General features: G+C 42.7%; 1 protein-coding gene and 1 pseudogene across 1 annotated transcript in view; one reads left to right on the top strand and one right to left on the bottom strand.

Annotated features, from left to right (window-relative positions):
• Positions 10862-11158, top strand: RN7SL824P (RNA, 7SL, cytoplasmic 824, pseudogene; annotated as a pseudogene).
• The window catches only part of RPAP2 (RNA polymerase II associated protein 2), a 102998-nt gene continuing 87788 nt past the window's right edge, over positions 11491-26700 (bottom strand). The window contains exon 13 of the mRNA NM_024813.3: positions 11491-26536. Within this exon, the coding sequence (NP_079089.2) occupies position 26536 (1 nt within the window). The 3' untranslated portion in view covers positions 11491-26535. The remainder of the gene's footprint in view (positions 26537-26700) is intronic.

The following is a 26700-nucleotide window of genomic DNA, read 5'->3' as shown; positions in this document are numbered from 1 at the left end:
AATAGACATATTAGGGTTGGTAGTCAGCAGCCTCTGTGCAGGCACATTTGTGGGGTGGTAGAGGCATGTGATTTTCTTCTGTAGCTCTTCTTAGCTACCAGTACAGAAAGGAGAAGGCAAACGGGACATGGTGCAGGGGGTTGGGGGGCAGCAGAATATCAGTACCAGGCATGGAGGGTGTGGATGAGAGAATAGTTTAAGCTGTGTTGGAAAGGAGAGAATGCTGTTTGGGGGATGATAAGCTGGGAGAAGGAGGAGGGATCAAGGGACTAGCGATCTCAGAGGGATTAAAAACCAGATAGTGTGGCTGTGGCAGTAGGTGATGGATATGGAAGGGAGATGAGGGTCACTCAATATAAGGAGGGTAAGGCATGGCCTGGGACGGTCCTCCCACTGCACACTGGACTGCAGGAATATGGCAGGAGACACAAAATACAGGGAAGCTGGTGTAGCCAGATGGTGTGATCCCCAAGGCAGTTCCCTGGGGGAGGAGAGTAATGGTCTAGAGGAGCACAGGAGTGTGAGAACACTGACCTTACCTGCAGGCCTAATCTGCTGACCCAGGTAGATACACAGGTGTAGCAGAATAAAAAGCCATCACTGAAGATAGCTGATAGTCACACCTGTGACTGGGGGATGACCAGGCCTTAGGGAGGCCAAGATGAGGAGAGAGCATTCTGTGAGAAGATGAAGGACGAAGAGGATTGATTTGCCATGGAATGAGGATCCAGTGTGCATAGAGGAAAGCCTTGCAGAGAAAGGGAAAGGGATTTGGGAGAGGACACAGAGCAGTGTGGTGATGAGAATGTGAGAAAGAACAAATGAGAAGGCTTATATTTTGGACACTGACTGAAGACTACAAAATGTAATGTCTGGGCTGGGCACAGTGGCTCATGCCTGTAATCTCAGAACTTTGGAAGGCCGAGGCATCAGGATCTCTTGAGATGAGGAGTTCGAGACCAGCCTGGGCAACATGGTGAAACCCTGTCTACAGAAAATTTAAAAATCAGCTGGGCATTGTGGTGCATGCCTGTAGTTTCAGCTACTTGGGAGGCTGAGGCAGGAGGATTGCTTGAGCCCAGAAGTTCAAGGTTTCAGTGAGCTATGATTGTGCTACTGGACCCCAGCCTGGGTGACAAAGAAAGACCCTGTCTCAAAAAAAAAAAAAAAAAGAAAAGAAAAAGAAAAAGGAAAAAAAAAGAAAGTAACAAGTAACATCCGGATGTAAGGGGTCCATACAGATCTCTAGGTTCAAGTTGTCTTAGAGAAGACCCAAGCCGTGGCCCCAGAGCAACAGACAGGTTGAGGCAGGGCTGCTGCCTTGTGGGCAAACTCAGGGATGGGCTCTCGGTGGTCAGCAGCCACACCAGGGATTTCCAAAGGTCTGAATGTATAGCAGTTGCAGGCCATAAAGAGACGCTTTCCTTCCTTGGAAGCCTTCATTGCCTTGCTCCTAAGGTATCCAGGATGAAGTCAGCCTCAAAACAACTACTACTCACACTGTCAGCTGCTGGAGACAACTCCGGCTGCTCAGCAATGCCAAGAATCATGCTCTTCTAATATCCATTTTGATTTGAAATCTTTTATGTTTGAGATGTACTTTTCTCTGTTGACAATGGGCTGGGTTTGGCCTACTCATTAGGTGTGGAACTCCCGGCTTGTGGTAAAACTTGATTGGAAAACAATTTAAACACATTTCCTGGTAAATGTATAAATATATATAGATGTTGGTTGTTCCCCTCCCCACCACCAGCACACACTGAAGAAGAAGCAATTTGAAGCAATTCAGACATGCTCAGCATCTGGCCCTCATAAAAGGCCTGGGGTGAGTCATGACTGTGCACCAATAGAGAGGGCTTGTTTTCCTTGTGGAGAGGACTGTATTTACCTCCCATTCTGCCCATGGCCCTTTCTATTGCTTTATGATGATAAGTCTGATTTGTGAGCAAAGAGACTGGTAAAATAAGAATATGGGGAAAGGGAGCAAGGAGAAAAGGAAGAGGACCCAGACTGCTACCTATTCAAGGCAAAATCAGCAGTTTTGGGGAGAACAAACTGTTTTTGCTTTTGAGGAGCCAGATAAAAGGCAGCAGAAAGAGCCTTGGCTTGTGAGTTAGGGGATGGCACCCTTCTTCTAGCTATAGGCCACTCAACCTATTGGCACCTGTTTGCGCATCTGACAAGTGGGACCAATAATTGTTGCCCTATCCAGTTGAGAGGAAAGGAAAACTCTTGTTTAAAAGCACTGTTAGGTGCCAGTTGTGGAGTGAGCTCCTTAAACATGCCATCTCATTTAATACTGAAGATAACTCCCATGATGTCATGAAACCATTCTTTGGCTGAAGAAACTGAGAATTGAGAGGCTATGCTGCTTGTCCAAGGGCACAAAGCCTGTCAAGGCTCAAACCTCAAACCCATGTCTGTCTGTCTCCAAATTCTGTGTAGTTCCTATTACTTCATACTGACATTGATGTCAAAGGATACATTAGGATCTCCTGCTGGGAAGGGGAAAAGCACAAGGTAGCACCCCAGTTCCAAGGCCTGGGGTATCCCTGTGTCCTTGGCCCCCACAGAAGGCTGAGCCCAGCCCAATTCTGTTTCCTTAGAGCACTGGTCGCTGCTGTGGGAGCAGGCAGGTTGTTAATCTGATAAACCGCTTCCTGCCAAGGTGGGAGGGGGAGCTAAAGGGTTGCTGTATTGCCATCCCAGTGGCAGGTGGAAGACTCCAGTGACTTTGCTCACAGAAGCACTCTAGGCTTACAATCTGAAAGGATGAGAGCTTTGGGGTCAGTCAGACTTCGGTGGGAGTCCTGGCTCTGCTTCTTGCTAGCAGTGTGACCTTAACTCATCTTACCTTCAGTTTCTTCATCAGTAAAATGCAGATAAGCATGCTCCCCATAAAAGGTGGATGTTGTGAATATTAAATGAACTGCTGTGGGAAATGTGCCTACCACCGTAATGCACAACTGAGTAAAAGGCAGCTGTTATTCCATGGAGGTGGTGAGCAGACCTCCAGAGGAGCTGCATAGGCATTGAGCAGTTTTTGTGTCCCATCCCTAAGTCCACATCATGGTCAATCATTTGTTTAGCGAATGCATTCTAAACACTCACTGTGTTGGCTGCTGGGGACAAGCAGGTATGAGATAGCATCATCCTTGCCTTTGTAGAGCTTACAGTTGAGCTGGAACCACATGGCAGGGAAGTATCTGTTATAGTCACAGAGGTGACAGGGCCTGGAAATGTAAGCTTGACCACCTCAGTGGGGTCTCTTAGAGAGTCTGGCATTTTAAAATCCAAGCCTCCTCTCCAGGTGTAACAGGGGCCCTTTCGTGGAGTTGTGGGACACACACCTTCCTTGGTAGAGACAGGAAAGGCTGGGCTGCCAGCCTGCTGGGCGAGGGGTGGGGTGGGGGGAAGGAAGAGGAGGAGGAGGAGGAGGAGGAGCTGCTGCTGCTGCTTTGGGGGTGGGTGGTTGAACAGGCAGCCCTGGAGGTGCTTCCCATCTAATGCTGGAAAAAACTACCACCTTTGGCAGAGACGGACTGATGCCTCCATAGCTCAGAGTTTATGGTATACTTTACTTATTATCTGAGGCATTTATAGACTGTTAGGTGTTGCCGTATCTGCCAGGGATGGTAAATGTGACAAGGACCTGTTCCAGTTCCAAGCCCACTGACTCACCAGTCACCTTGACATTGAGCAGGTCAGTGATCACACTGAACCTCTCCTGAGGCAATAAAGTGAATGTCTGGGTCGAGGAATAAAACTTGGAGAAAGGGCTCAATGCCAGTCAGCTTGATAGGAAGCCTATGGTACACCTCTCTGGGGATTAAGTAGAGGGTAGGTACAAGGTTCACTCATCTGGGCTTTCCAGATCTACTACATCCAGGCTCTTCCCATCTCACCCTATCCTATCATCCTGCTTGTTCCTCAACAACCAATATCCACACCAAGCTAGCAGGCAGGTTCCTCAAGATCCCCCAAACACATGGAAGCTCATTCCCACCTCATTGATTTTGTTTAAGATCAGATCCCTACTGTTTCACTTTTCTTCAGCTGTAATTAGCTCATTTCTCAAGCCCAGCTCTCATTCTGCCTCCCCCAGAAAGCATTCCTTAACTTCCACAGCACACACTGACCTTTCTCCTCTGGATCACCCCATTTTAGTAATGATTCATTAATGGACTCCTTGATTAATTCAGTCAATGCATGGCAAGCCTTACCTGTTCTAGATGAAAAAATACTTCCAAAATCTATCCACTTCTCTCCATCTTCACTGCTTCCACCCTAGACACCTCTTGCTTGGATTATTAAAAACCCTTGTAGCTGGTCTCTCTACCCTCACTTTGCCTGTCTCCAACCCCTGCATACTCCATGCACTATCCAGTGGTCTTTTATGAAGGTAAATTAGCTCCGGTCACTCCCCTGCTTACAGTCTTCTAGTAGCTTCCCAGAGTCCTCACCACAGCCCACAAGTCTCTGCTAATCTAGCACTTGGCTGTATTCCCAGCCTCTTCTCATTCCATCATTCCTTTTGCTCATTCTGCTTCAGGTACCTCAGCCTTCTTTCAGTTCTTCCAAAAGGCCAAACCATTACTATTGCCTTAGGGCTTTTGCATGTACTGACCTTCTACCTAAAATGGTCTCAGCTCCTCAGTGTTTGCCTACTCCTCATCACTTTGCTCTCTGCTCTCAAATGTCACCTCATCAGAAGGTTTTCCTTGAGCACCCATCTGAAGTAGCTCTTGCCCTCTTGAAGTCACAACTTATATCATTATACTATTTCCTTTTATGTCTTAGTCTGTTTTGTGTTGCTATAACAGAATACCGCAGACTATGATTTATAAAAAAAGAAATTTATTTCTCACCATTCTGGAGGCTGGGAAATCCAGTATCAAGGTGCTGGCATCTGATGAGGGCCTTCGTGCTATATTATTCCATGGTGGAAGGTGGAAGGGCAAACCAGTGTTTGAGACAGAGAGAAAAAGGGGGCCAAGCTCCCATGATAACTTCTTCTGTGATAATGGCATTAATCCATTCATGAGGGCAGAGCCCTCATATTGTCATCATTTCTTAAAGGTCTCACCTCTTAATACTGTCATAAGTTTCAACATGAGTTTTGGTTTTGCTTGTTTTTGTTTTTGTTTTTTTTGTGTGTGTGTGTGTGTGTGTGTGTTTTTTGACACAGTCTTGCTCTGTCACTCAGACGGGAGTGCAGTGGCTCAATCTTGGCTCACTACAACCTCCACCTCCTAGGTTCAAGTGATTCTCCTGCCTCAGCCTCCTGAGTAGCTGGGACTACAGGCGTGTGCCATCATGCCCAGCTAATTTTGTATTTTTAGTAGAGACGGGGGTTTCACCATGGTGGCCAGGCTGGTCTCGAACGCCTGAGCTCAAGTGATCCACCCACCTTGGCCTCTCAAAGTGCTGGGATTACAGGTGTAAGCCACTGCACTGGGCCTCAGCATGAGTTTTCGAGGGGACATTCAACTGTAGAACTTTATATCACTAATATTTTTTAACTTGTATTTCCTTGTATTGTGTGCTTTTCACCACTAGAGAGGAAGCACCTCCGGATAGAAACAATGTCTTTTCACTGCTATATCCTCAGAGTTTAGAATAGTGCTTATGAACAAAACCAATAAATATTGACTAATCATTTATTAAATGGTTATTAAATGCCTTCAATGTGTGGAGCCCTGAAAATCAGTAATTACTACGACTGATTAGAGATACGAATGCCTATCCTGGAATACGGTTTCTCAAAGGTTGTCCACAAAACTCTGGTGGTCTGTCAAGGAGTTTGCAACTGGTTTGATAGTTTCAGAGTAAAGAGTGATGAAACAGTTTTGTTCATATACACTTAACTGTTTAAAATATAAGATTAAGGGCTGGGTGTGGTGGCTCACGCCTGTAATCCCAGCACTTTGGGAGGCTGAGGCAGGTGGATCACCTGAGGTCAGAAGTTTGAGACCAGCCTGGCCAACATGGTGAAACCCCATCTCTACTAAAAATACAAAAATTAGCTGGATGTGTTGGCATGCACCTGTAATCCCAGCTACTCGGAAGGCTGAGGCAGGAGAATTGCTGGAACGCAGGAGGCAGAGGTTGCAGTGAGCTGAGATCATGCCACTGCACTCCAGCCTGGGCGACAGAGCAAGAGTCTGTCTCAAAAATAAATAAATAAATAAATAAATAAATAAATAAATAAATAATAAGATAAGGTTTTCTGGCTGAGCGCGGTGGCTCACGCCTGTAATCCCAGCACTCTGGGAGGCCGAGGCATGCAGATCACTTGAGATCAGGAATACGAGACCAGCCTGGACAACATGGTGAAAGCTTGTCTCTACTAAAATAGAAAAATTAACCAGGGATGGTGGCACATGCCTGTAGTCCCAAGTACTCGGGAGGCTGAGGCAGGAGAATTGCTTGAACCCAGGAGGCGGAGGTTACAGTGAGCCGAGATTATGCCACTGTACTCCAGCCTGGGTGACACAGCAAGACTCTGTCTCATTAAAAAAAGCTAAAAAGAAAAAGATTACAACTATCATAGAAATTTTATTATTTTATTAATAATTGTTTCATGACGTTTACTGCAAGGACTATTTTGGCTAGTTCATCATAGCCAATTTCAGTTATCAGTTATAGTTTATTTTGAATATGTTTCACATTATGAGTGTTAAAATCTTAGTCATAAAAATCTATTTTTTTTGAGACAGGGTCTCTATCTGTGACCCAGGTGAGTGTGCATTGATATGAACATGGCTCACTGCAGCCTCAACCTCCCAGGCTCAAGTCATCCTCTCACCTCAGTGTCCTGAATAGCTGGGACCACAGGCACAAGCCACCATGCCTGGCTAATTTTTTTTTTTTTTTTTTTGAGACAGAGTCTTGCTCTTGTGGCCCAGGCTGGAGTGCAATGGTGCGATCTCAGCTCACTACAACCTCCACCTCCTGGGTTCAAGCAATTCTCCTGCCCCAGCCTCCCGAGTAACTGGGATTACAGGTGCCTACCATGCCCGGCTAATTTTTTGTATTTTTAGTAGAGACGGGGTTTCACCATGTTGGTCAGGCTGGTCTCAAACTCCTGACCTCAGGTGATCCACCCGCCTCAGCCTCCCAAAGTGCTGGGATTACAGGCATGAGCTACTGCACCCAGCTGGCTGGCTAATTAAAAATAATTTTTTTTTTTTTTGTGGAGATGGGCTCTTGCTATGTTGCCTAGGCTGATCTCAAACTCCTGGACTCAAGCAATCCTCCTGCCTCAGCCTCCCAAAGTGCTGGGATTACATGTGTGAGCCACTGCACCCAGACAAAATCTACATTTTTGTTGTTACTATTGTGTTGCATTATTTCTCATGATTCAAAAGTAGTTCATCAAAGAGTAAAATTAATGATGAAGAATAATATTGTCAATAGTGCAATAGAGAATAATGTTGTAAGTGTAAATACTTAATAGGGTTACACTATGAATACACACCATGAATCTTTATGAGCTAGGAGAATATAATCAGCAGGAGTGCTGATTTGGCACAGTAGCTGAAAAAGAAGAGTTCAAATAGGAAATACAGTGCTGAATATCTGAAAATTGGACTTTATTGGGTTGTGAATGATCCCTAAGGATATTGTTTCTTGTGATGCTTTGTCCGATAGTGGCAAAGGCCATCAAAGTTAAAAAAAAATATGGTTACTTCTCTGGTAAATCAATGGACATTTTCCAGAGTATGTGTAGGATATGGATTTTGTTAATAAAGGTAGAGCAGAGACCAAAATTACAGAGGTATTACTTAAAGTTGTACTTAGAGCAAAAACATATACAAGTCATACTACTGTAAGGATGCTTGAATAGTCAGCTTAAGTTAAACTAATGACAAGCATAGGGCTTGGAGAGAAGGCAGAACAAACCTGGCATAGTTCTTTTATCAAAAGATCCTGTTGAAAGTAAGTAAAGAAAACAACTGGATGTGGAACTGACTTATGGCTCAAGCCAATCCTTATCAAAATGACCACAGACACCTTGGCAAAAAGTTGAGAACAATTTTTTTTTTTTTTTTTTTTTTTTTTATGAGACGGAGTTTCACTCTTGTTGCCCAGGCTGGAGTACAATGGTGCAATCTCGGCTCACTGCAACCTCTGCCTCCCAGGTACAAGCGATTCTTCTGTCTCAGCCTCCCAAGTAGCTCGGATTACAGGCATGCGCCATGATGCCTGGCTAATTTTTGGTATTTGGTAGAGATGGAGTTTCACCATGTAAGTCAGGCTGGTTGTGAACTCCTGACCTCAGGTGATCCACCTGCCTCGGCCTCCCAAAGTGCTGGGATTACAGGTGTGCGCCACCATCCCTGGTGAAAATAATCTTATTCCTCTGTTTTGGAATAATTACTAATTTGAAAACTATTATGTCTTATGTTTGTAATTTAAAAAATTGAAGTAGGCTGGGTGCAGTGGCTCATGTCTGTAATCTCAGCACTTTGGGAGGCTGAGGTGGGGGGATCACTTCAGCCCAGGAGTTCAAGACCAGCCTGGGCAACAAAGTGAGACCCTATCTCTACAAGAAATACAAAAAATTAGCCAGGCCTGGTGGTGCACACCTGTAGTTCCAGCTACTCAGTAGGCTGAGCTGGGAGGATGGCTTGAGCCCTGGGAAGTTGAGGCTGCAGTGAGCTGTGATTGCATCACTGCATTCCAATTTGGTGACAGAGTAAGAACCTGTCTCAAAAAAAAAAAAAAAAAAATTGAAGTAGATTTCCATTTAAATGTGGTAGACTGAACACATGTTTTCTCCATACTACCTCCCAAAATTTGTTGGTAATTTTTTTTTTTTTTTTGAGATGGAATCTCGTTCTGTCATCCAGGCTGGAGTGCAGTGGGGTGATTTCAGCTCATTGTAACCTCTGCCTCCTGGGTTCAAGCAATTCTTGTGCCTCAGCCTCCTAAATAGCTGGGACCACAGGCACATGCCACCATGCCCAGCTAATTTTTGTATTTTTAGTAGAGTTGAGGTTTTGCCATGTTGGCCAGGCTGGTCTTGAACGCCTGACCTCAAGTGATCCACCCACCTCAGCCTCCCAAAGTAAATACTTTTTTAAAAAGCATAAATGACCTTTGGCTTTAATCTATGATGAAGTATTAGGGACAATATTTATCCTGTCAATGTAAACAGGAAGAAACTGGACAAGATGTATGAAACAGCTGTTTTCTGATACTGAATTAGAGGTAGCACAGGATTGTGATTCTTGAGAAAGGAGAAACAAATGAAGTGAGCTTTATTATCACCTAGGTTTCTATTTGGAGGCACATTCTAGACCATGGAGCAAGGAGAGAAATCCTAAGCAGAGCACAATCCTCTCACTGAGTTGAAGAGAGAGAGGCAGAGAGAGAGACAGTGATATTGGAGTAGTTCAGGGAGGCTGAGGCAGCTGAAAGTTGGGAAAAAATTCAGATAAGGGGGTGTTATGCAGAAGTGCTCCAGAAATCTGCACTGGGGTCTCATTAAGTTTTTTTTTTTTTTTTGAGATGGAGTCTCCCTCTGTCACCTAGGCTGGAGGGCGGTGGTGTGATCTCGGCTCACTGCAACCTCTGCCTCCCAGGTTCAAGCAATTATCCTGCCTCAGCCTCCCAAGTAGCTGGGATTACAGGTGCCCACCACCGTGCCTAGCTAACTTTTGTATTTTTAGCAGAGATGGCATTTCACTGTGCTGGCCAGGCTGGTCTAGAACTCTTGACCTCGTGATCTGTCCACCTCGGCCCCGCAAAGTGGTAGGATTACAGTTGTGAGCCACCGTGCCTGGCCTCATTTTCTGAATGCTAAGAAATAATACTGGCTGGGCACGGTGGCTCATGCCTGTAATCCCAGCACTTTGGGAGGCTGAGGTAGGTGACTCACTGGAGCCCAGGAGTTCAAGACCAGCCTGGGCAACATAGCAAGACCCCACCTCTCCAAAAACTACAAAAAATTACTCAGGCATGGTGGCACGCACCTGTAGTTCCAGCTACTTGGGAGGCTGAAGTGGGAGGATCACCTGAACCCAGGAGGCAGATGTTGCAGTAAGCCAAGATCATGCCACTGCACTCTAGCCTGGGCAACAGAGTGAAACCCTGTCTCAAAAAAAGAAAAAGAAAAGAAATAATACTAAGATGTGATGCTGAAAAATTTTCTACATTTGTTGAGAATGCTAATGCAAAAATTCAAGAAACTCAATGAACCCCATGCAGGATAAACCTACACACATACAAACTCACACCAAAGCATATAATCAATTTGCTGAAAAACAACTGATAAAGAGAAAATTTTTAAAAGCAGCCAGAGGAAAAAAAGATACAATATATACAGAGAAACCAAGATAAGAATTACTGCATACTTATAGTCTAAAGCTATGCAAGCCAGAAGACAATGGAGTGGTATCTTTGAAGTGCCAAAAGGAAAAAAAAAAGGACAATTTGAAAACAAGTGAAAATATCCTTCAAAAATGAAGGCAAAATAATGTGGTTTTTTTTTTTTTTTTTTTTTTTTTTTTGAGACAGACTCTGTTGCCCAGGCTGGAGTGCAGTGGCATGATCTTGGCTCACTGCAATCTCTGCCTCCCAGGTTCAAGCAATTATCCTGCCTTAGCCTCCCAAGTAGCTGGGATCACAGGCATCTGCCACCATGCCTGGCTAATTTTTGTATTTTTAGTAGAGATGGGGTTTCACCATGTTGGCCAGGCTGGTCTTGAACTCAGCCTCAAGTGATCCACCTGTCTCGGCCTCCCAAAGTGCTGGGATTACAGGCGTGCACCACCACACCCAGCTGTTTTCTTTTGAGACTGATCAAGAGAAAAGAAGACTCAAATTACCAGTATCTAGGAAAAGAGAGAACACTGCCAGATGCGGTGGTGCACGCCTATAGTCCCAGCTATTCAGGAGGCTGAGGTGGGAGCACTGCTTAGACCAGGAGTTCTTGGCTGTAATATGCATGCCAGTCAGGTGTCTGCACTATGTTTGGCATCAGTATGGTGACCTCCTGGGAGCATGGGGACACCAGGTTGCCTAAGGAGGGGTGAACTGTCCCAGGCTGGAAATGAAGCAGGTAAAAACTGCTGTGCTGATCAGCAGTGGGATTGTGCCTGTGAATAGTCACCTCACTCCAGCCTGGGCAATACAGTGAGACCCTGTCTCTTAAAAAAAAAAAGAGAGAAAACACTACTAAGATTCTACATTAATTAAGGGAATAGTAAGAGGATATTATGAATGACTATGCAAATACATTTGAAAACAGATGAAATGGAAGAATTCATTGGAAGAAACATGTTTCCAACAATGACACAAGAAAAAACATTCCTAAATATACATATTTTAATGAAAGTATTTAAAGTCATAATTACAAATTGTCTCATAAGGGAAATTCACAGGCTGAGATGATGTCACTGGTGAATTGTATCAAACATCTAAGGAAGGAATAATAGAATCCTTCATCCATGCAGAAGTTTCAGAAAATAGAATTGGGCAGTACACATTCCAACTCATTTTATTAGGCCAGTATTACTTTGATTTCAAAACCAGACAAAGATGTTACAAGAAAAATTACAAACCAATATCCTTCAAACATAGGCAAAATCCTGAAGAAACTAAAATGAATACAGCAATTTACAAAGAGGAAAATGCATCATGATCAGTGGGTCTTATCCCAGGAACGCAAGGTTAATTTAACATTTAAAATACCAATGAGCATAATTATACAACCTTAGCAGAAATAAGGAGGAAAAAAACTTGGATCATCTCCATAGATGCATTAAAAGCCTTTGACAAAATTCAACACCCATTTATGATTTAAAATGACAAAAACCTTTTAGCAAACTATGAATACCAGGGAACATCTTCAAGCTGAGAAAGGGTCTCTAGGAAAACTTACAGCTGACATTGTACTTAATGGCGAAAGACTGAGTACTTTCCCTCTAAAATTAGGAACAAGGGGAGGATATGTGCTTTCACCACTTATATCCAGTATTGTTCTGAAGGTCCTAACCAGGGCAGTAAGGCAAGACATATGGGTTGGCAAAGAACAAGTACAATAATCTTTATTTGCTGATGACATGATTGTGTATGTAGAAAGTCCTCAGAATTCTACAAAAAAGGGACTAGAACTAAGTAGTAGGGAAAGTATTGTCCTAAAAATGGTCCTTATTCCATAGATACTTTTACCTTTATTGCCAACATGAGTAGCTGGCTTTCTTGGGGTGTTACTTTCCACAAAAAAGTCAAGGCATTAATCACAAGGAAAGCAAAGTATGTGTGTTTGCTGCTTTTATTGAATTGATCTTTACAGAAGTGAGTTAGAAAGGTCTTCAGTAATAGCTTTCTCTCTGATATGGTCCGGCTCTGTGTCCTCACCCAAATCTCATCTTGAATTGTAATCCAAATTGTGATCCCCACGTGTTGGGGGAGGGACCTCGTGGAAGGTGATTGGATCATGGGGGTGGTTCTCCCCTGCTGTTCTCATGATAGTGAGTTCTCATGAGATCTGATGGCTTTATAGAGGCTTTGCCCCACTTTGCTCTGCACTTCTCCTTCCTGCCGCCCTGTGAAGAAGGTGCCTTTCTTCCCCTTTGCCTTCTGCTATGATTGTAAGTTTCCTGAGGCTTTCCCAGCCATGTGGAACTGTGAGTCAATTAAAACTCTTTCCTTTATAAATTACCCAGTCTGGGGTATTTCCTTATAGCAATGTAAGAATAGACTAATACACTCTCCCATTTGGTAAATTTTCCTTCTCTGCCCTAGAGGATTTCCGAGAGAAATTCCTAAAGCCACAGAGTTCTTTTTCCAAACTCTTTTTCCAGCCTCTAAAGGGCTGCTTGGTGGGTTCACGGTCTCCCAACCTAAAACTAATTGTGAAGGCTCCAAACAGAAAAATTCTGGACCTTAAAACCAATGCGTGGCTGGCCACAGTGGTTGACACCTGTAAGCTCAGCACTTTGGGAGGCCAAGGTGAGAGGATTGCTTGAGGCAAGGAGTAACATAGTGATTGAGACCTGGGTAACATAGTGACACCCTGTCTCTAAAAAATATAAAATTAAAAAAAATATTAGCTGGGTATGGTGGTACGTGCCTATAGTCCCAGATACTCTGGAGGTTGAGGTGGGAGGATCGCTTGAGGCCAGGAGTCTGAGGCTATAGTGAGCTATGACTGTCACTGTGCTCCAGCCTGGGTGACAGTGAGACCCTGTCTCAAAAAACCCCACAAAACCAAACCAAGGTATACTCTGACTCCAACCAGGATCCCCTCCGTAAACTCAGCTTTCCCTCTGGCGGTGACCCTTGTTCTGCAAAGGAAGCCAGGGTGAAGGGGAGGGAATCTCAGTTTAACTCACTCACAGAGGGTGGCTTCCCTAATCCCAAGTGGGTTTTGATTGAGTCCTGTTTTAGCTCCCTCTCTCTCTCCAGAGCTCATTGGGCTTTTTGTTGCTTAGTTAGATGAGCCATAGACAAGGAGTTTGAGACCTGGGTTTTAGCAACTGCTCTGCTAAAACTGGCTGATCTTGTGGAAGATAAACCTCATTGAGTCTTAGTTTGTGCTTTTTTTAAAGTGAGATATTTAGTTAGACTAGTGATTTTCAAACTCTTTTTCCTAGTAGCAAGACTCTTTGTACGAAGAAAATCTTATCTGGATGCCCAACCCAGACAAGAGAGGTTAAGAGTCATTCTGGTTGACTTTGAAGGTGGACTGTCTTTTCTCCCATTGTGGCCATAGTGAAAGTGACTCTGTCTAAAATTTAGTGTATTTTTTCCCCCCAAAGATGGATAATGTGTTAATGGGACGATGTGAGAAGGATAAGAGGTAAGGATGTGGGAGTGAGCAAGGTGACAGATCATAGGCTATGCTTTTTCATATAAAAAATGAAGATGGGTATTACAGAAGATATTACTAAATTGTTTCTCTGAAAAGTCTTATAACTTATGACATGAAACTACATTAAATTATATGTGTCAACTTCAAAACATTACAGTACCTGAAGTGGACACTGCTTTGGCTGTATGACCCCAGTAAGGTAGGGTCAGATGGGCATCTAGGGGACTGGCTTTTCCTGCTTATCTAAGTGATAGAAGTTTTCACTGTTAAAACTTCATTTTATTGCTCTTATTTTTGTCACAAGTCCTTATGAGCTTGGTTGGGTGAAGGGTCACCCAGAAAAGAACCAGCTTCCACTTTCTTTAATTATGCAAACTAGAGCTAGGTGACTGAGAACTTGCTTTTGGTCTGCAAGACATAGGGAGTTTTGCAAGCCCCAAGGGAGTCCAGAATTTCCTGAACATGTTGCAAGGTGGCTGGATGGCTTTCTTCTGAAGTCATGCAATATTGTCCTTCACTTTGGTTATGACTGCAGAGGTGCTGGGAAGCAAAATGAAAACTATCACCTTGAAGCAGGCTTTTCTTCATAGGCCCCAGAGGTGAGGCCAGCTCATTTAAAGGGAATGGCTTGTGCTGCTGCTTTCATCTAAAGGTATTTTGATCCAATTCCACCTCCCAGCTCCTTTATTGGTAATGTTTTCCAAAACACAGTATTTTTGCTGAGGGAAGGACAGGCAAAGGCCTGAACATTTAGAGAGTAGAAAACTGGCTGGGTGTGGACCTTTTACAAAAGTTCATATTTTGCTAGTTTAATTTGGAAAAGGACACATGAATTCTCACAGAAAATGAGCTTTATTGGGGAACAATACATTTCATGAAGGCATTTCTTTATCAGGAATCACACAGGCAGCCCCACGCAGTCACTGCCCCACACCTTATCCTTCAGCTTGTGCTGCACAGGAGAGGAGTGGCTGGGATTCCTGACTAGGGCTTTGATGAGAGTGCATGCACACTGGAGCATGCTTCTTGGCCTGGATGGCAAAGTCCCAGGAGCCAGTCCTAACTCAGACTCTGGCCTGCCTAGGTACATTTCAGATGAAAGTCACCCCTGCTCCTTGCCCCACCCTCAGTCCAACAAAAATGTGCTTCTAGAAATGCTTACTTTTCTTTTTCTACGAAGGGCTTATAATGTGAGGCTACTAAAGATTTTCAGATTTCAGAATAGTACCACTTACCTTGGGCTAGGTTAATTTTTTAGAGAATTGATCTTGTCCCCTAATGAGTAGGAAGATCAACTGGTTTTTGGACATGACTATAAGCAGAAGATGCTAAATAATACCTTAAAAAGACTCCACTGGCCAGGTGCGGTGGTTCACTCCTGTAAACATTTTTTAATTTTTGTGGGTACATAGTAGATGTATATATTTATGGGTTACATGAAATATTTTGGTACAGGCATGCAATGTGTAATAATCACATCAGGATAAATAGGGTTTCCATCATCTTAAGCACTTATCCTTTGTGTTACAAACAATCCAGTTATACTCTTCAGTTATTTTAAAATTTTATTTTTTGAGACAGTCTCACTCTATTGCCTAGGCTGGAGTGCAGTGCCACAATCATGGCTCACTGAAGCCTTGACCGCCTGGTCTCAGGTGATCTTCACCCTCCTGAGTAGCTGGGACTATAGGCGTGTGCCACCATGCCCGGCTAATTGTTTACTTTTTTGTAGAGATGGGGTCTCCCTATGTTGCCCAGGCTGGTCTCAAACTCCTGGGCTCAAGTCATCCTCCCACCTCAGTCTCCCAAAGTGCTGGGATTACAGGCGTGAGCCACCGTGCCCGGCCAGGGAGCTCTTTCAGATTGGCTCCTGTGTCTGTCTGACATGCTTCTATCCTTTTGTTTTTGAGCACTTGCTTAGTTTCTGGTACTACAAGATGCTCCAGGCTTATCTTGCATTTTTTTGGCTCTAGCCTTAGAACCTAGCTATTTTCTCAAGAAGCCTGGGTTCTTTTCTATTGGAAAATATTTAGAAACCAAAATCCAGCACAGTACTTTGAACTGAATTCTGCTTCAGTCCTCCCAAACTAACATAAACTTGGCAGAAGTGTATGGGAGGCAGATGCAGCACCCTCCCAAAGCAGCTGGCCCTGTGGTGACTTGGTGGCAGTTGTCCACTTGGATCCTTAGTTTCTATACTGAGCTACTGGCTCCTCACCTGAGGTCTCTAGACTTGTAGGGCATGTGAGATAACTGAAGAGATATCTCTGGGCACAGAGAGGGAAGAAGTGGAGATACAGCAGCTTCCCTCATTTTTTAATTTTTAATTTTTGAGACAGTGTCTTGCTCTGTCACCCAGGCTGGAGTGCAGTGGTGCAATCTTGGCTCCCTACAACCTCTGCCTCCTGGGCTCAAGTGATCCTCCCACCTCTGACTCCTGAGTAGCTGGGACTCCAGGCATACACCGCCATGCCTGGCTAATTTTTTTTATTTTTGGTGGAGACAGGGTTTTGCTATGTTGCCCAAGTTGGTCTCAAACTCCTGGACTCAAGCAATCAGCCCATCTTGGCTTCCCAAAGTGCTGGGATTACAGGTGTGAGCCCCTGTGCCTGGCTAGCTTCTTTTTCTCTTTACCCTAGGTCACTAGGTCAGAGAGAGAGAGGCCCTGTTATAATCTTTGACTTTTAATAGCTTTATTAAGGTATAATTTATACACATAAACTTTACCTGTTTTAAGTGCATAAATCAATTATTTTTAAAGTTTATAAAGTTGTGCAAAAATGGCTGGGTGTGGTGGCTCACGCCTGTAATCCCAGCGCTTTGGGAGGCCGAGGCAGGAGGATCACCTGAGGTCAGGAGTTCGAGACCAGCCTGACCAACCTGGAGAAAACCTGTCTCTACTAAAAATACAAAATTAGCCGGGCATGGTGGCACATGCCTGTAATCCCAGCTACTCAGGAAGCTGAGGCAGGAGAAATGCTTCAACCCAGGAGGCGGAGGTTGTGGTGAGCTGAGATCGCGCCATTGCACTCCAGCCTGGGCAACAAGAGTGAAACTCCATCTCACACACACACACACACACACACATAAAAGTTGTGCAAAAATTACAACTTAGTTTTGGAACATTTTTGTCACCCCCAAAAGATCCCTTGTGCCCATCTGCAGGCAATCCATGTTTTCACATCAGACCCATGCAACTGCTAATTTAGTATATGCCTTTTCTGGACTGTAAATGGAAACATACCATATGTGGGATATTGCATCAGACTTCTTTCACTAAGCATAATGTTTTGAGATGCATCCATATTGTAGCCTATATCACTACTCCATTGTATACATATATCATTTAAAGAAATCCACCAGTTAAAAAAAAAAAGAAAAAGAAATAATCTGGGTATGTTGGTGCCTGCCTGCAGTCCCAGTTACTGAGGAGGCTGAGGCAGGAGGATTGTTTGAGCCCAGGAGTTTGACTTCAGAGTATGCAACATAGTGAGGCCTCATCTCTTAAAAAAAAAAAAAAAATCCAGTAGTTGATGGTCATTTGGTTTCCACTTTTTGACTAATATGAATGATAATGCTATGAACATTTGCCTACGAGTCTTGATGTGAACACATTTCCACTTCTCTTCTCATGGAATAGCAGGATCATATGGTAAACTTATGTTTATCTTTTTAAGAAACTGCCAAACTGTTTTCCAAAGTGGCTGCACCATTTTACATTCCCACCAGCAATGCATTAGGGCTCCAGTTTCTCCACATCATCACCAACACATATCTTTGTCTGTCTTTTTTATTATAGTCATTTTAGTGGGTCCAAAATGGTATCTAATTTTGCTTTTAACTTGTATTTTCCTAATGACTAGTGATAGTACACATCTCTTCATATGCTAAGCAATTTGTATATCTTTGCTGAAATATCTATTCAAACATTTTGTCCATTTTTAAGTTGTCTGCCTTATTTTTGAGTTTTAAGAATTCTTTACATAGTCTAGATACAAGTCCTCTATCAGATACTTATTATGGTTTGAAAATATTTTCTCCCAGTCTGTGATTTTTCAATTAATTTTTTTTTTTTTTTTTTTTTTTGAGACAGGGTCTCACTCTGTCACCCAGGCTCTAGTGCGGTGGTGTGATCTTGGCTCACTGCAACCTCTGCCTCCCAGGGTCAAGAGATCCTCCCACCTCAGCCTTCTGAGTAGCCAGGACTACAGGAGCACGCCACCATGCCTGGTTAATTTTTGTATTTTTTGTGGAGATGGCATTTTGCTCTGTTGTCCAGTCTGGTCTCAAATTCCTGAGCTCAAGTGGTCCACCCTCCTTGGCTTCCGAAAGTGCAGGGATTTCAGATGTGAACCACCTCCCCGGGCCAATTAATTTTCTTAATAGTTTTTTGAAACAAAATTTTATATTTTAATGAAGTCCAATTTATTAATATTTTCTTTTATGAATTGTGCTATTAGTGTCTTAAGAATTCTTCCTAAACCAAGGTCATCTAGGTTTTCTCCCATGTTTTCTTCTACATGTTTTATAGTTTTAGCTCTTACATGTAGGTGTGTGATCAATTTTGAGTTTATTTTTGCATATGGTAGGAGGTAAGAATCTAAATTAATTTCTTCTGCATTTGATATCCAAATATCCTAGCACTATTTGTTGAAAAGACCATCTTTTCTCCATAATTTCATTGGGATTTTTGTCAAAACTTAATTGATCATAAATGTGAAGGTTTATTCCTGGACTCTGTTCCACTGATCTGTATGCCTATCTTTATATCAGTACCACACTGTCTTGATTAATGTAGCTTTGTAGTAAGTTCTGGATCAGAATTATTTCTTCATTTTCAGAATTATTTTGGCTATTCTGAATCCTTTATGTTTTCATACAGATTTTAAGATTGGCTTGTCAATTTTTCAAAAAAGCCTGCTGTGATTTTGATAGGGATTGCATTGTAGATTAATTTGGGGAGAACTGCTATCTTAACAACATTTGATCTTCCAATTCATGAACATGGATTGTGTCTACATTTCTTGATACCTTCTTTAATCTCTCTGAATTTTTCTTTTTCTTTTTTTGAGACAGGGTCTTGCTCTGTTGCCCAGGCTGGAGTGCACTGGCACAGTCACAGCTAACTGCAGCCTCAACCTCCCAAGCTCAGGCAATCCTCCCAATGTAGCCTCTCAAGTAGCTGGGACTACAGGTGTGCAGCACCATGCCTGGCTAGTTTTTTAAAATTTAATAATTATTTTTTTTATTATACTTTAAGTTCTGGGTTACATGTGCAGAACATGTAGTTTTGTTACATAGGTATACACATGCCATGGTGGTTTGCTGCACCCACCAACCTGTCACCTACATTAGGTATTTCTCCTAATGTTATCCCTCCCTTAGCCCCCCACCCCCCACAGGCCCTGGTGTGTGATGTTACCCTCCCTGTGTCCATGTGTTCTCATTGTTTAACTCCCACTTATGAGTGAGAACATGCGTTGTTTGGTTTTCTGATCTTGTGATAGTTTGCTGAGAATGATGGTTTCCGGCTTTATCCATGTCCCTGCAAAGGACATGAACTCATCCTTTTTTATGGCTGCATAGTATTCCATGGTATACATGTGCCACATTTTCTTAATCCAGTCTATCATTGACGGGCATTTGGGTTGGTTTCAAATCTTTGCTATTGTGAATAGTGCAGCAATAAACATACGTGTGCATGTGTCTTTATTGTAGAATGATTTATAATCTTTTGGGTATATGCCCAATAGTGGGATTGCTGGGTCAAATGGTATTTCCAGTTCTAGATCCTTGAGGAGTCGTCACACTGACTTCCACAATGGTCGGACTAATTTGCACTCCCACCAACAGTGTAAAAGCGTTCCAATTTTTCCACAACCTCTCCAGCATCTATTGTTTCCTGATTTTTAATGATCGCCATTCTAACTGGCATGAGATGGTATCTCACTGTGGTTTTGATTTTCATTTCTCTAATGACTAGTGATGATGAGCATTTTTTCATATGTCTGTTGGCTGCATAAATGTCTTCTTTTGAGAAGTATCTGTTCATATCCTTTGCCCATTTTTTGATGGGGTTGTTTGCTTTTTTCTTGTAAATTTGTTTAAGTTCTTTGTAGATTCTGGATATTAGCCCTTTGTCAGATGGATATATTGCAAAAATGTTCTCCCATTCTGTAGGTTGCCTGTTCACTCTGATGATAGTTTATTTTGCTGTGCAGAAGCTCTTTAATTAGAACCCATTTGTCAATTTTGGCTTTTGTTGCCATTGCTTTTGGTGTTTTAGACATGAAGTCTTTGCCCATGCCTATGTCCTGAATGGTATTGCCCAGGTTTTCTTCTAGGATTTTTATGGTCCTAGGTCTTACGTTTAAGTCTTTGTTCCATCTTGAGTTGATTTTTGTATAAGGTGTAAGGAAAGGGTCCAGTTACAGTTTTCTGCATATGGCTAGCCCGTTTTCCCAACACCATTTATTAAATAGGGAATCTTTTCCCCATTGCTTGTGTGTGTCAGGTTTGTCAAAGATCAGATGGTGGTAGACGTGTGGTGTTATTTCTGAGGCCTCCATTCTGTTCCATTCGTCTGCATATCTGTTTTTGTACCAGTGCCATGCTGTTTTGGTTACTGTAGGCTTGTAGTAAAGTTTGAAGTCAGGTAGTGTGATGCCTCCAGCTTTGTTCTTCTTGCCCAGGATTGTCTTGGCTAGGTGGGCTCTTTTTTGGTTCCATATGAATCTTAAAGTAGTTTTTTCCAATTCTGTGAAGAAAGTTAGTGGTAGCTTGATGGGGATAGCATTGAATCTATAAATCAGTTTGGGCAACAAGGCCATTGTCATGATATTGATTCTTCCTATCCATGAGCATGGAATGTTTTTCCATTTGTTTGTGTCCTCTCTTATTTCCTTGAGCAGTGCTTTGTATTTTATTTTCTTAGTAGCAATTGTGAATGGGAGTTCACTCATGATTTGGCTCTTTGTCTATTATTGGTATATAGGAATGCTTGTGATTTTTGCACACCGATTTTGTATCCTGAGACTTTGCTGAAGTTGCTTATCAGCTTAAGGAGATTTTGGGATGAGACGATGGGGTTTTCTAAATATACAATCATGTCATCTGCAAACAGAGACAATTTGACTTCCTCTCTTCCTATTTGAATATGCTTTATTGCTTTCTCTTGCCTGATTGCCCTGGCCAGAACTTCCAATACTATGTTGAATAGGAGTGGTGAGAGAGGGCATCCTTGCCTTGTGCTGGTCTTCAAAGGAAATGCTTCCAGCTTTTGCCCATTCAGTATGCTATTGGCTGTGGGTTTGTCATAAATAACCTCTTATTATATTGAGATACATTCCATCAATACCTAGTTTATTGAGGGTTTTTAGCATGAAAGGCTGTTGAATTTTGTTGAAGGCCTTTTTTGTATCTATTGAGATAATCATGTGGTTTTTGCCGTTGGTTCTGTTTATGTGATGGATTATGTTTATTGATTTGCATATGTTGAACCAGCCTTGCATCCCAGGGAAGAAGCTGACTTGATCGTGGTGGATAAGCTTTTTGATATGCTGCTGGATTCGGTTTGCCAGTATTTTATTGAGGATTTTCGCATCGATGTTCATCAGGGATATTGGCCTAAAATTCTCTTTTTTTGTTGTGTCTCTGCCAGGCTTTGGTATCAGGATGATGTTAGCCTCATAAAATGAGTTAGGGAGGATTCCCTTTTCTTCTATTGATTGGAATAGTTTCAGAAGGAATGGTACCAGCACCTCTTTGTACCTTTCGTAGAATTTGGCTGTGAATCCGTCTGGTCCTGGACTTTTTTTGGTTGGTAGGCTATTAATTATTGCCTCAATTTCAGAACCTGTTACTGGTTTATTCAGAGATTCAACTTCTTCCTGGTTTAGTCTTGGGAGGGTGTATGTGTCGAGGAATTTATCCATTTCTTCTAGATTTTCTAGTTTATTTGTGTAGAGGTGTTTATAGTATTCGCTGATGGTAGTTTGTATTTCTGTGGGATCAGTGGTGATATCCCCTTTATCATTTTTTATTGCATCTATTTGACTCTTCTCTCTTTTCTTCTTTTTTAGCCTTGCTAACGGTCTATCAATTTTGTTGATCTTTTCAAAAAACTAGCTCCTGGATTCACTGATTTTTTGAAGGGTTTGTTGAGTCTCTATCTCCTTCAGTTCTGCTCTGATCTTAGTTATTTCTTGCCTTCTGCTAGCTTTTGAATTTGTTTGGTCTTGCTTCTCTAGTTCTTTTAATTGTGATGTTAGGGTGTTGATTTTAGATCACTCCTGCTTTCACTTGTGGGCATTTAGTGCTATAAATTTCCCTCTACATACTGCTTTAAACATGTCCTAGAGATTCTGGTACATTGTGTCTTTGTTCTCGTTGGTTCCAAAGAACATCTTTATTTCTGCCTTCATTTCGTTATTTACCCAGTAGTCATTCAGGAACAGGTTGTTCAGTTTCCATGCAGTTGTGCAGTTGAGTGAGATTCTTGATCCTGAGTTCTAATTTGATTGCATTGTGGTCTGAGACGGTTTGTTGTGATTTCTGTTCTTTTGCATTTGCTGAAGAGTGCTTTACTTCCAATTATGTGGTCAATTTTGGAATAAGTGTGATGTGGTGCTGACAAGAATGTATATTCTGTTGATTTGGGGTGGAGAGTTCTGTCGATGTCTATTAGGTCTGCTTGGTCCAGAGCTGAGTTCAAGTCCTGGATATCTTTGTTAATTTTCTGTCTTGTTGATCTGTCTAATATTGACAGTGGGGTGTTAAAGTCACCCATTAATATTGTGTGGGAGTCTAAATCTCTTTGTAGAACTTGCTTTATGAATCTGGGTGCTCCTGTATTGGGTGCATATATATTTAGGATAGTTAGCTGTTCTTGTTGAATTGATCCCTTTACCATTATGTAATGACCTTCTTTGTCTCTTTTGATCTTTGTTGGTTTAAAGTCTGTTTTATCAGAGACTAGGATTGCAACCCCTGCTTTTTTCTGCTTTCCATTTGCTTGGTAAATCTTCCTACATCCTTTTATTCTGAGCCTATGTGTGTCTTTGCACATGAGATGGGTCTCCTGAATATAGCTCACTGATGGGTCTTGACTGTTTATTCAATTTGCCAGTCTGTGTCTTTTAATTGGGGCATTTATCCCATTTACATTTAAGGTTAATATTGTTATGTGGGAATTTGATCCTGTCATTATGATGCTAGCTGGTTATTTCATCCATTAATTGATGCAGTTTCTTCATAGTGTTGATGGTCTTTACCATTTGGCATGTTTTTGCAGTGGCTGGTACTGGTTGTTCCTGTCCATTTTAGTGCTTACTTCAGGAGCTCTTGTAAGGCAGGCCTGGTGGTGACAAAATCTCTCAGCATTTGCTTGTCTGTAAAGGATTTTATTTCTCCTTCACTTAAGAAGCTTAGTTTGGCTGGATATGAGATTCTGGGTTGAAAATTCTTTTCTTTAAGAATGTTGAATATTGGCCCCCATTCTCTTCTGGCTTGTAGGGTTTCTGCCCAGAGGTCCGCTGTTAATCTGATGGGCTTCCCTTTGTGGGTAACCTGACCTTTCTCTCTGGCTGCCCTTAACAGTTTTTCCTTCATTTCAACCTTGGTGAATCTGACAATTATGTGTCTTGGGGTTGCTCTTCTTGAGGAGTATCTTTGTGGTGTTCTCTGTATTTCCTGAATTTGAATGTTGGCCTTCCTTGCTAGGTTGGGGAAGCTCTCCTGGATAATATCCTGAAGAGTGTTTTCAAACTTGGTTCTGTTCTCCCCATCACTTTCAGGTACACCAATCAAACATAGATTTGGTCTTTTCACATAGTCTCATATTTCTTGGAGGCTTTGTTCATTTCTTTTCACTCTTTTTTCTCTAATCTTGTCCTCTCGCTTTATTTCATTAATTTGATCTTCAGTTACTGATATCCTTTCTTCCACTTGATCGAATTGGCTATTGAAGCTTGTGTATGCTTCACGAAGTTCCCGTACTGTGGTTTTCAGCTCCATCAGGTCATTTAAGCTCTTCTCTACACTGGTTATTCTAGTTAGCCATTTGTCTAACCTTTTTTCAAGATTTTTAGCTTCCTTGCGACGCATTAGAACATGCTCCTTTAGCTTGGAGAAGTTTGTTATTACCGACCTTCTGAAGCCTACTTCTGTCAACTTGTCAAACTCATTCTCTGTCCAGTTTTGTTCCCTTGCTGGCAAGGAGTTGTGTTCCTTTGGAGGAGAAGAGGCATTCTGGTTTTTGGAATTTTCAGCCTTTCTGGTCTGGTTTCTCCCCATCTTTGTGGTTTTACCTACCTTTGGTCTCTGATGTTGGTGTCCTATGGATGGGGTTTTGGTGTAGATGTCCTTTTTTTGATGTTGATGCTATTCCTTTCTGTTAGTTTTCCTTCTAATAGACAGGCCCCTTAGCTGCAGGTCTGTTGGAGTTTGCTGGAGGTCCACTCCAGACCCTGTTTGCCTGGGTGTCACCAGTGGAGGCTGCAGAACAGCAAATATTGCTGCCTGATCCTTACTGTGGAAGCTTCGTTCCAGTGGGGCATCTACCTCTCTGAGGTGTCTTTCGGCGCCTACTGGGAGATGTCTCCCAGTCAGGCTACACGGGGGTCAGGGACCCACTTGAGGAGGCAGTCTGTCTATTATCGGAGCTTGAACGCGGTGCTGGGAGAACCACTGCTCTCTTCAGAGCTGTCAGGCAGGGACGTTTAAGTCTGGAGAAGCTGTCTGCTGCCTTTTGTTCAGATATGCCCTGCCCCTGGAGGTGGAATCTACAGAGACAGTAGGCCTTGCTGAGCTGTGGTGGGCTCTGCCCAGTTTGAGCTTCCCTGCTGCTTTGTTTACACTGTGAGCATAGAACCGCCTACTCAAGCCTCAGCAATGGCGGACACCTCTACCCCGCCAAGCTCCCACGTCCCAGGTCGATTTCAGACTGCTGGCGCTAGCAGTGAGCAAGGCTCTGTGGGCGTGGGACCCACTGAACCAGGCATGGGAGGGGATTTCGTGGTCTGCCAGTTGCGAAGACTGTGGGAAAAGAGCAGTATTTGGGCAGGAGTGTACCCCTCCTCCAGGTATAGTCACTCACGGCTTCCCTTGGCTAGGAAAGGGAAATCCCCCGACCCCTTGGCGCTTCCCAGGTGAGGCGATGCCCCACCTTGCTTCGGCTAACCCTCTGTGGGCTACACCCACTGTCCAGCCAGTCCCAGTGAGACGAACCAGGTACTTTAGTTGAAAATGCAGAAATCACCCATCTTCTGTGTCCATCCTGCTGGGAGCTGTAGACTGGAGCTGTTCCTATTCGGCCATCTTCAATTTATTTTTATTTTTATTTTTTGTGGAGACAGGGTCTCACTTTGTTGCCCAGGCTGGTCTTGAACTCCTGGGCTCAAGCAGTCCTCCTGCCTCTGCCTCCAAAGTGCTAGAACTAAAGGCATGAGCCACCATGCCCAGCCCTCTTGAATGTTTTATAGTTTTCGTTATACAAGTCTTATACTTATTTTGTTAAATTTATTCCTAAGTATTTAATTCTCTTTGGTGATATTGTGAACACAATTTTCTTTATTTCATTTTTGGAGTTTTCTGAACAGAAAAATACAATTGATTTTCTGTATATTGATCTAGCCTGTGACCTTGCTGAACTTGATTAATTCTATTACACTATGATTTTTTGTTGTGGTTAGACCCTTACACAATCAAATGAGGTTAAAAAAAATTGTCAGAGTGGCCCCAGACCAACAACAGGATGACAGTAGCCTTTGCCCATACAGAGATAAAATTTAGTTTTTGCAGTCCTTTCCCATAGAGATTGTATGGCAGTAGCCAATTCTATGGCCTACTGCCATACAACCTGAACTGAAGTCCAGAAAGTTTAGGTGACTGGGCCACAGAGCTAATTACTGGTGGAGCCAAGAAGAGAAATTATATCCCTACCTCCTTGCCCACTAAGCTCCCCATTCCAGTGGGCTGCTTTCTGGTCCTTTTCCATGATTGGGCTTTAGTAGCTGTCATTTCCTCCAGTGTCCAAGAGTATTTTCTTGGCCTTCCAGTAAAGCTCCCCAAGTTGTCTGTGTTCCGCCTCAACTGCTAACTTGCCTACCTGATAAACATTTTGAAAAGCAATCTAAATTCTAGAAATTGTCTCTCCTGCAAACAAACTACAGATTCCATTTAAAGCATTTCCTTGAGTCCAGAAAGTTCTGAGATTTTCCTGTTTTGGACTAGACTTCCAAAGGGCTTCATCTTAAATTGTATGTATTTATTGACCTAATTGTTTACTGATCTTTAGAATTTAGAGTTTAGGTTGGGAGGTCAAAATCATAACTTTCTCAATTTTTTTGGCAAACTGATATGATGGCTGGAAATCATCCAGAAAAAGTAGAGATCATTATATTTTCTTGAATATTCATTCAAGTTTCAATTTAATACTTAAACATTCATTTTCGAATAAAAATACTATGTCTTGTACTAGGGATACAAAGACTTGGTTATTCTTGTTGGAGTAATGATTCTCCTCTATCTGGGGAGGTCATCCTCTGCAGTTGGGGACTGAAGGACTGGGAGATGGGAGATTGAAACTTAAAGAGGTAAAGGTATGTCTTGGAATAAAACTAGTTATCAGTCACCACCAGACCATCATGGCGGCTAGAATTCCAGAAACGGTGAATAGAAGTTCATCTTCTATTTTGTCTTCATGGAATATATCTGTGAAGCAAAAAAGGATACTTTGAGTAAAACATGTATTGGGAGGCCAAGGCAGGCAGATCATGAGGTCAGGAGTTTGAGACCAACCTGGCCAGCATGGTGAAACCCCCATCTCTACTAAAAATACAAAAAAACCCAAAAAGTTTGCCAGGCATGGTGGCATG

The sequence above is a fragment of the Homo sapiens genome, chromosome 1 (assembly GCF_000001405.40).
Source record: "Homo sapiens chromosome 1, GRCh38.p14 Primary Assembly".
NCBI classification, from domain to species: domain Eukaryota; kingdom Metazoa; phylum Chordata; class Mammalia; order Primates; family Hominidae; genus Homo; species Homo sapiens.
This window is presented reverse-complemented; position numbering and strand designations above follow the sequence as displayed.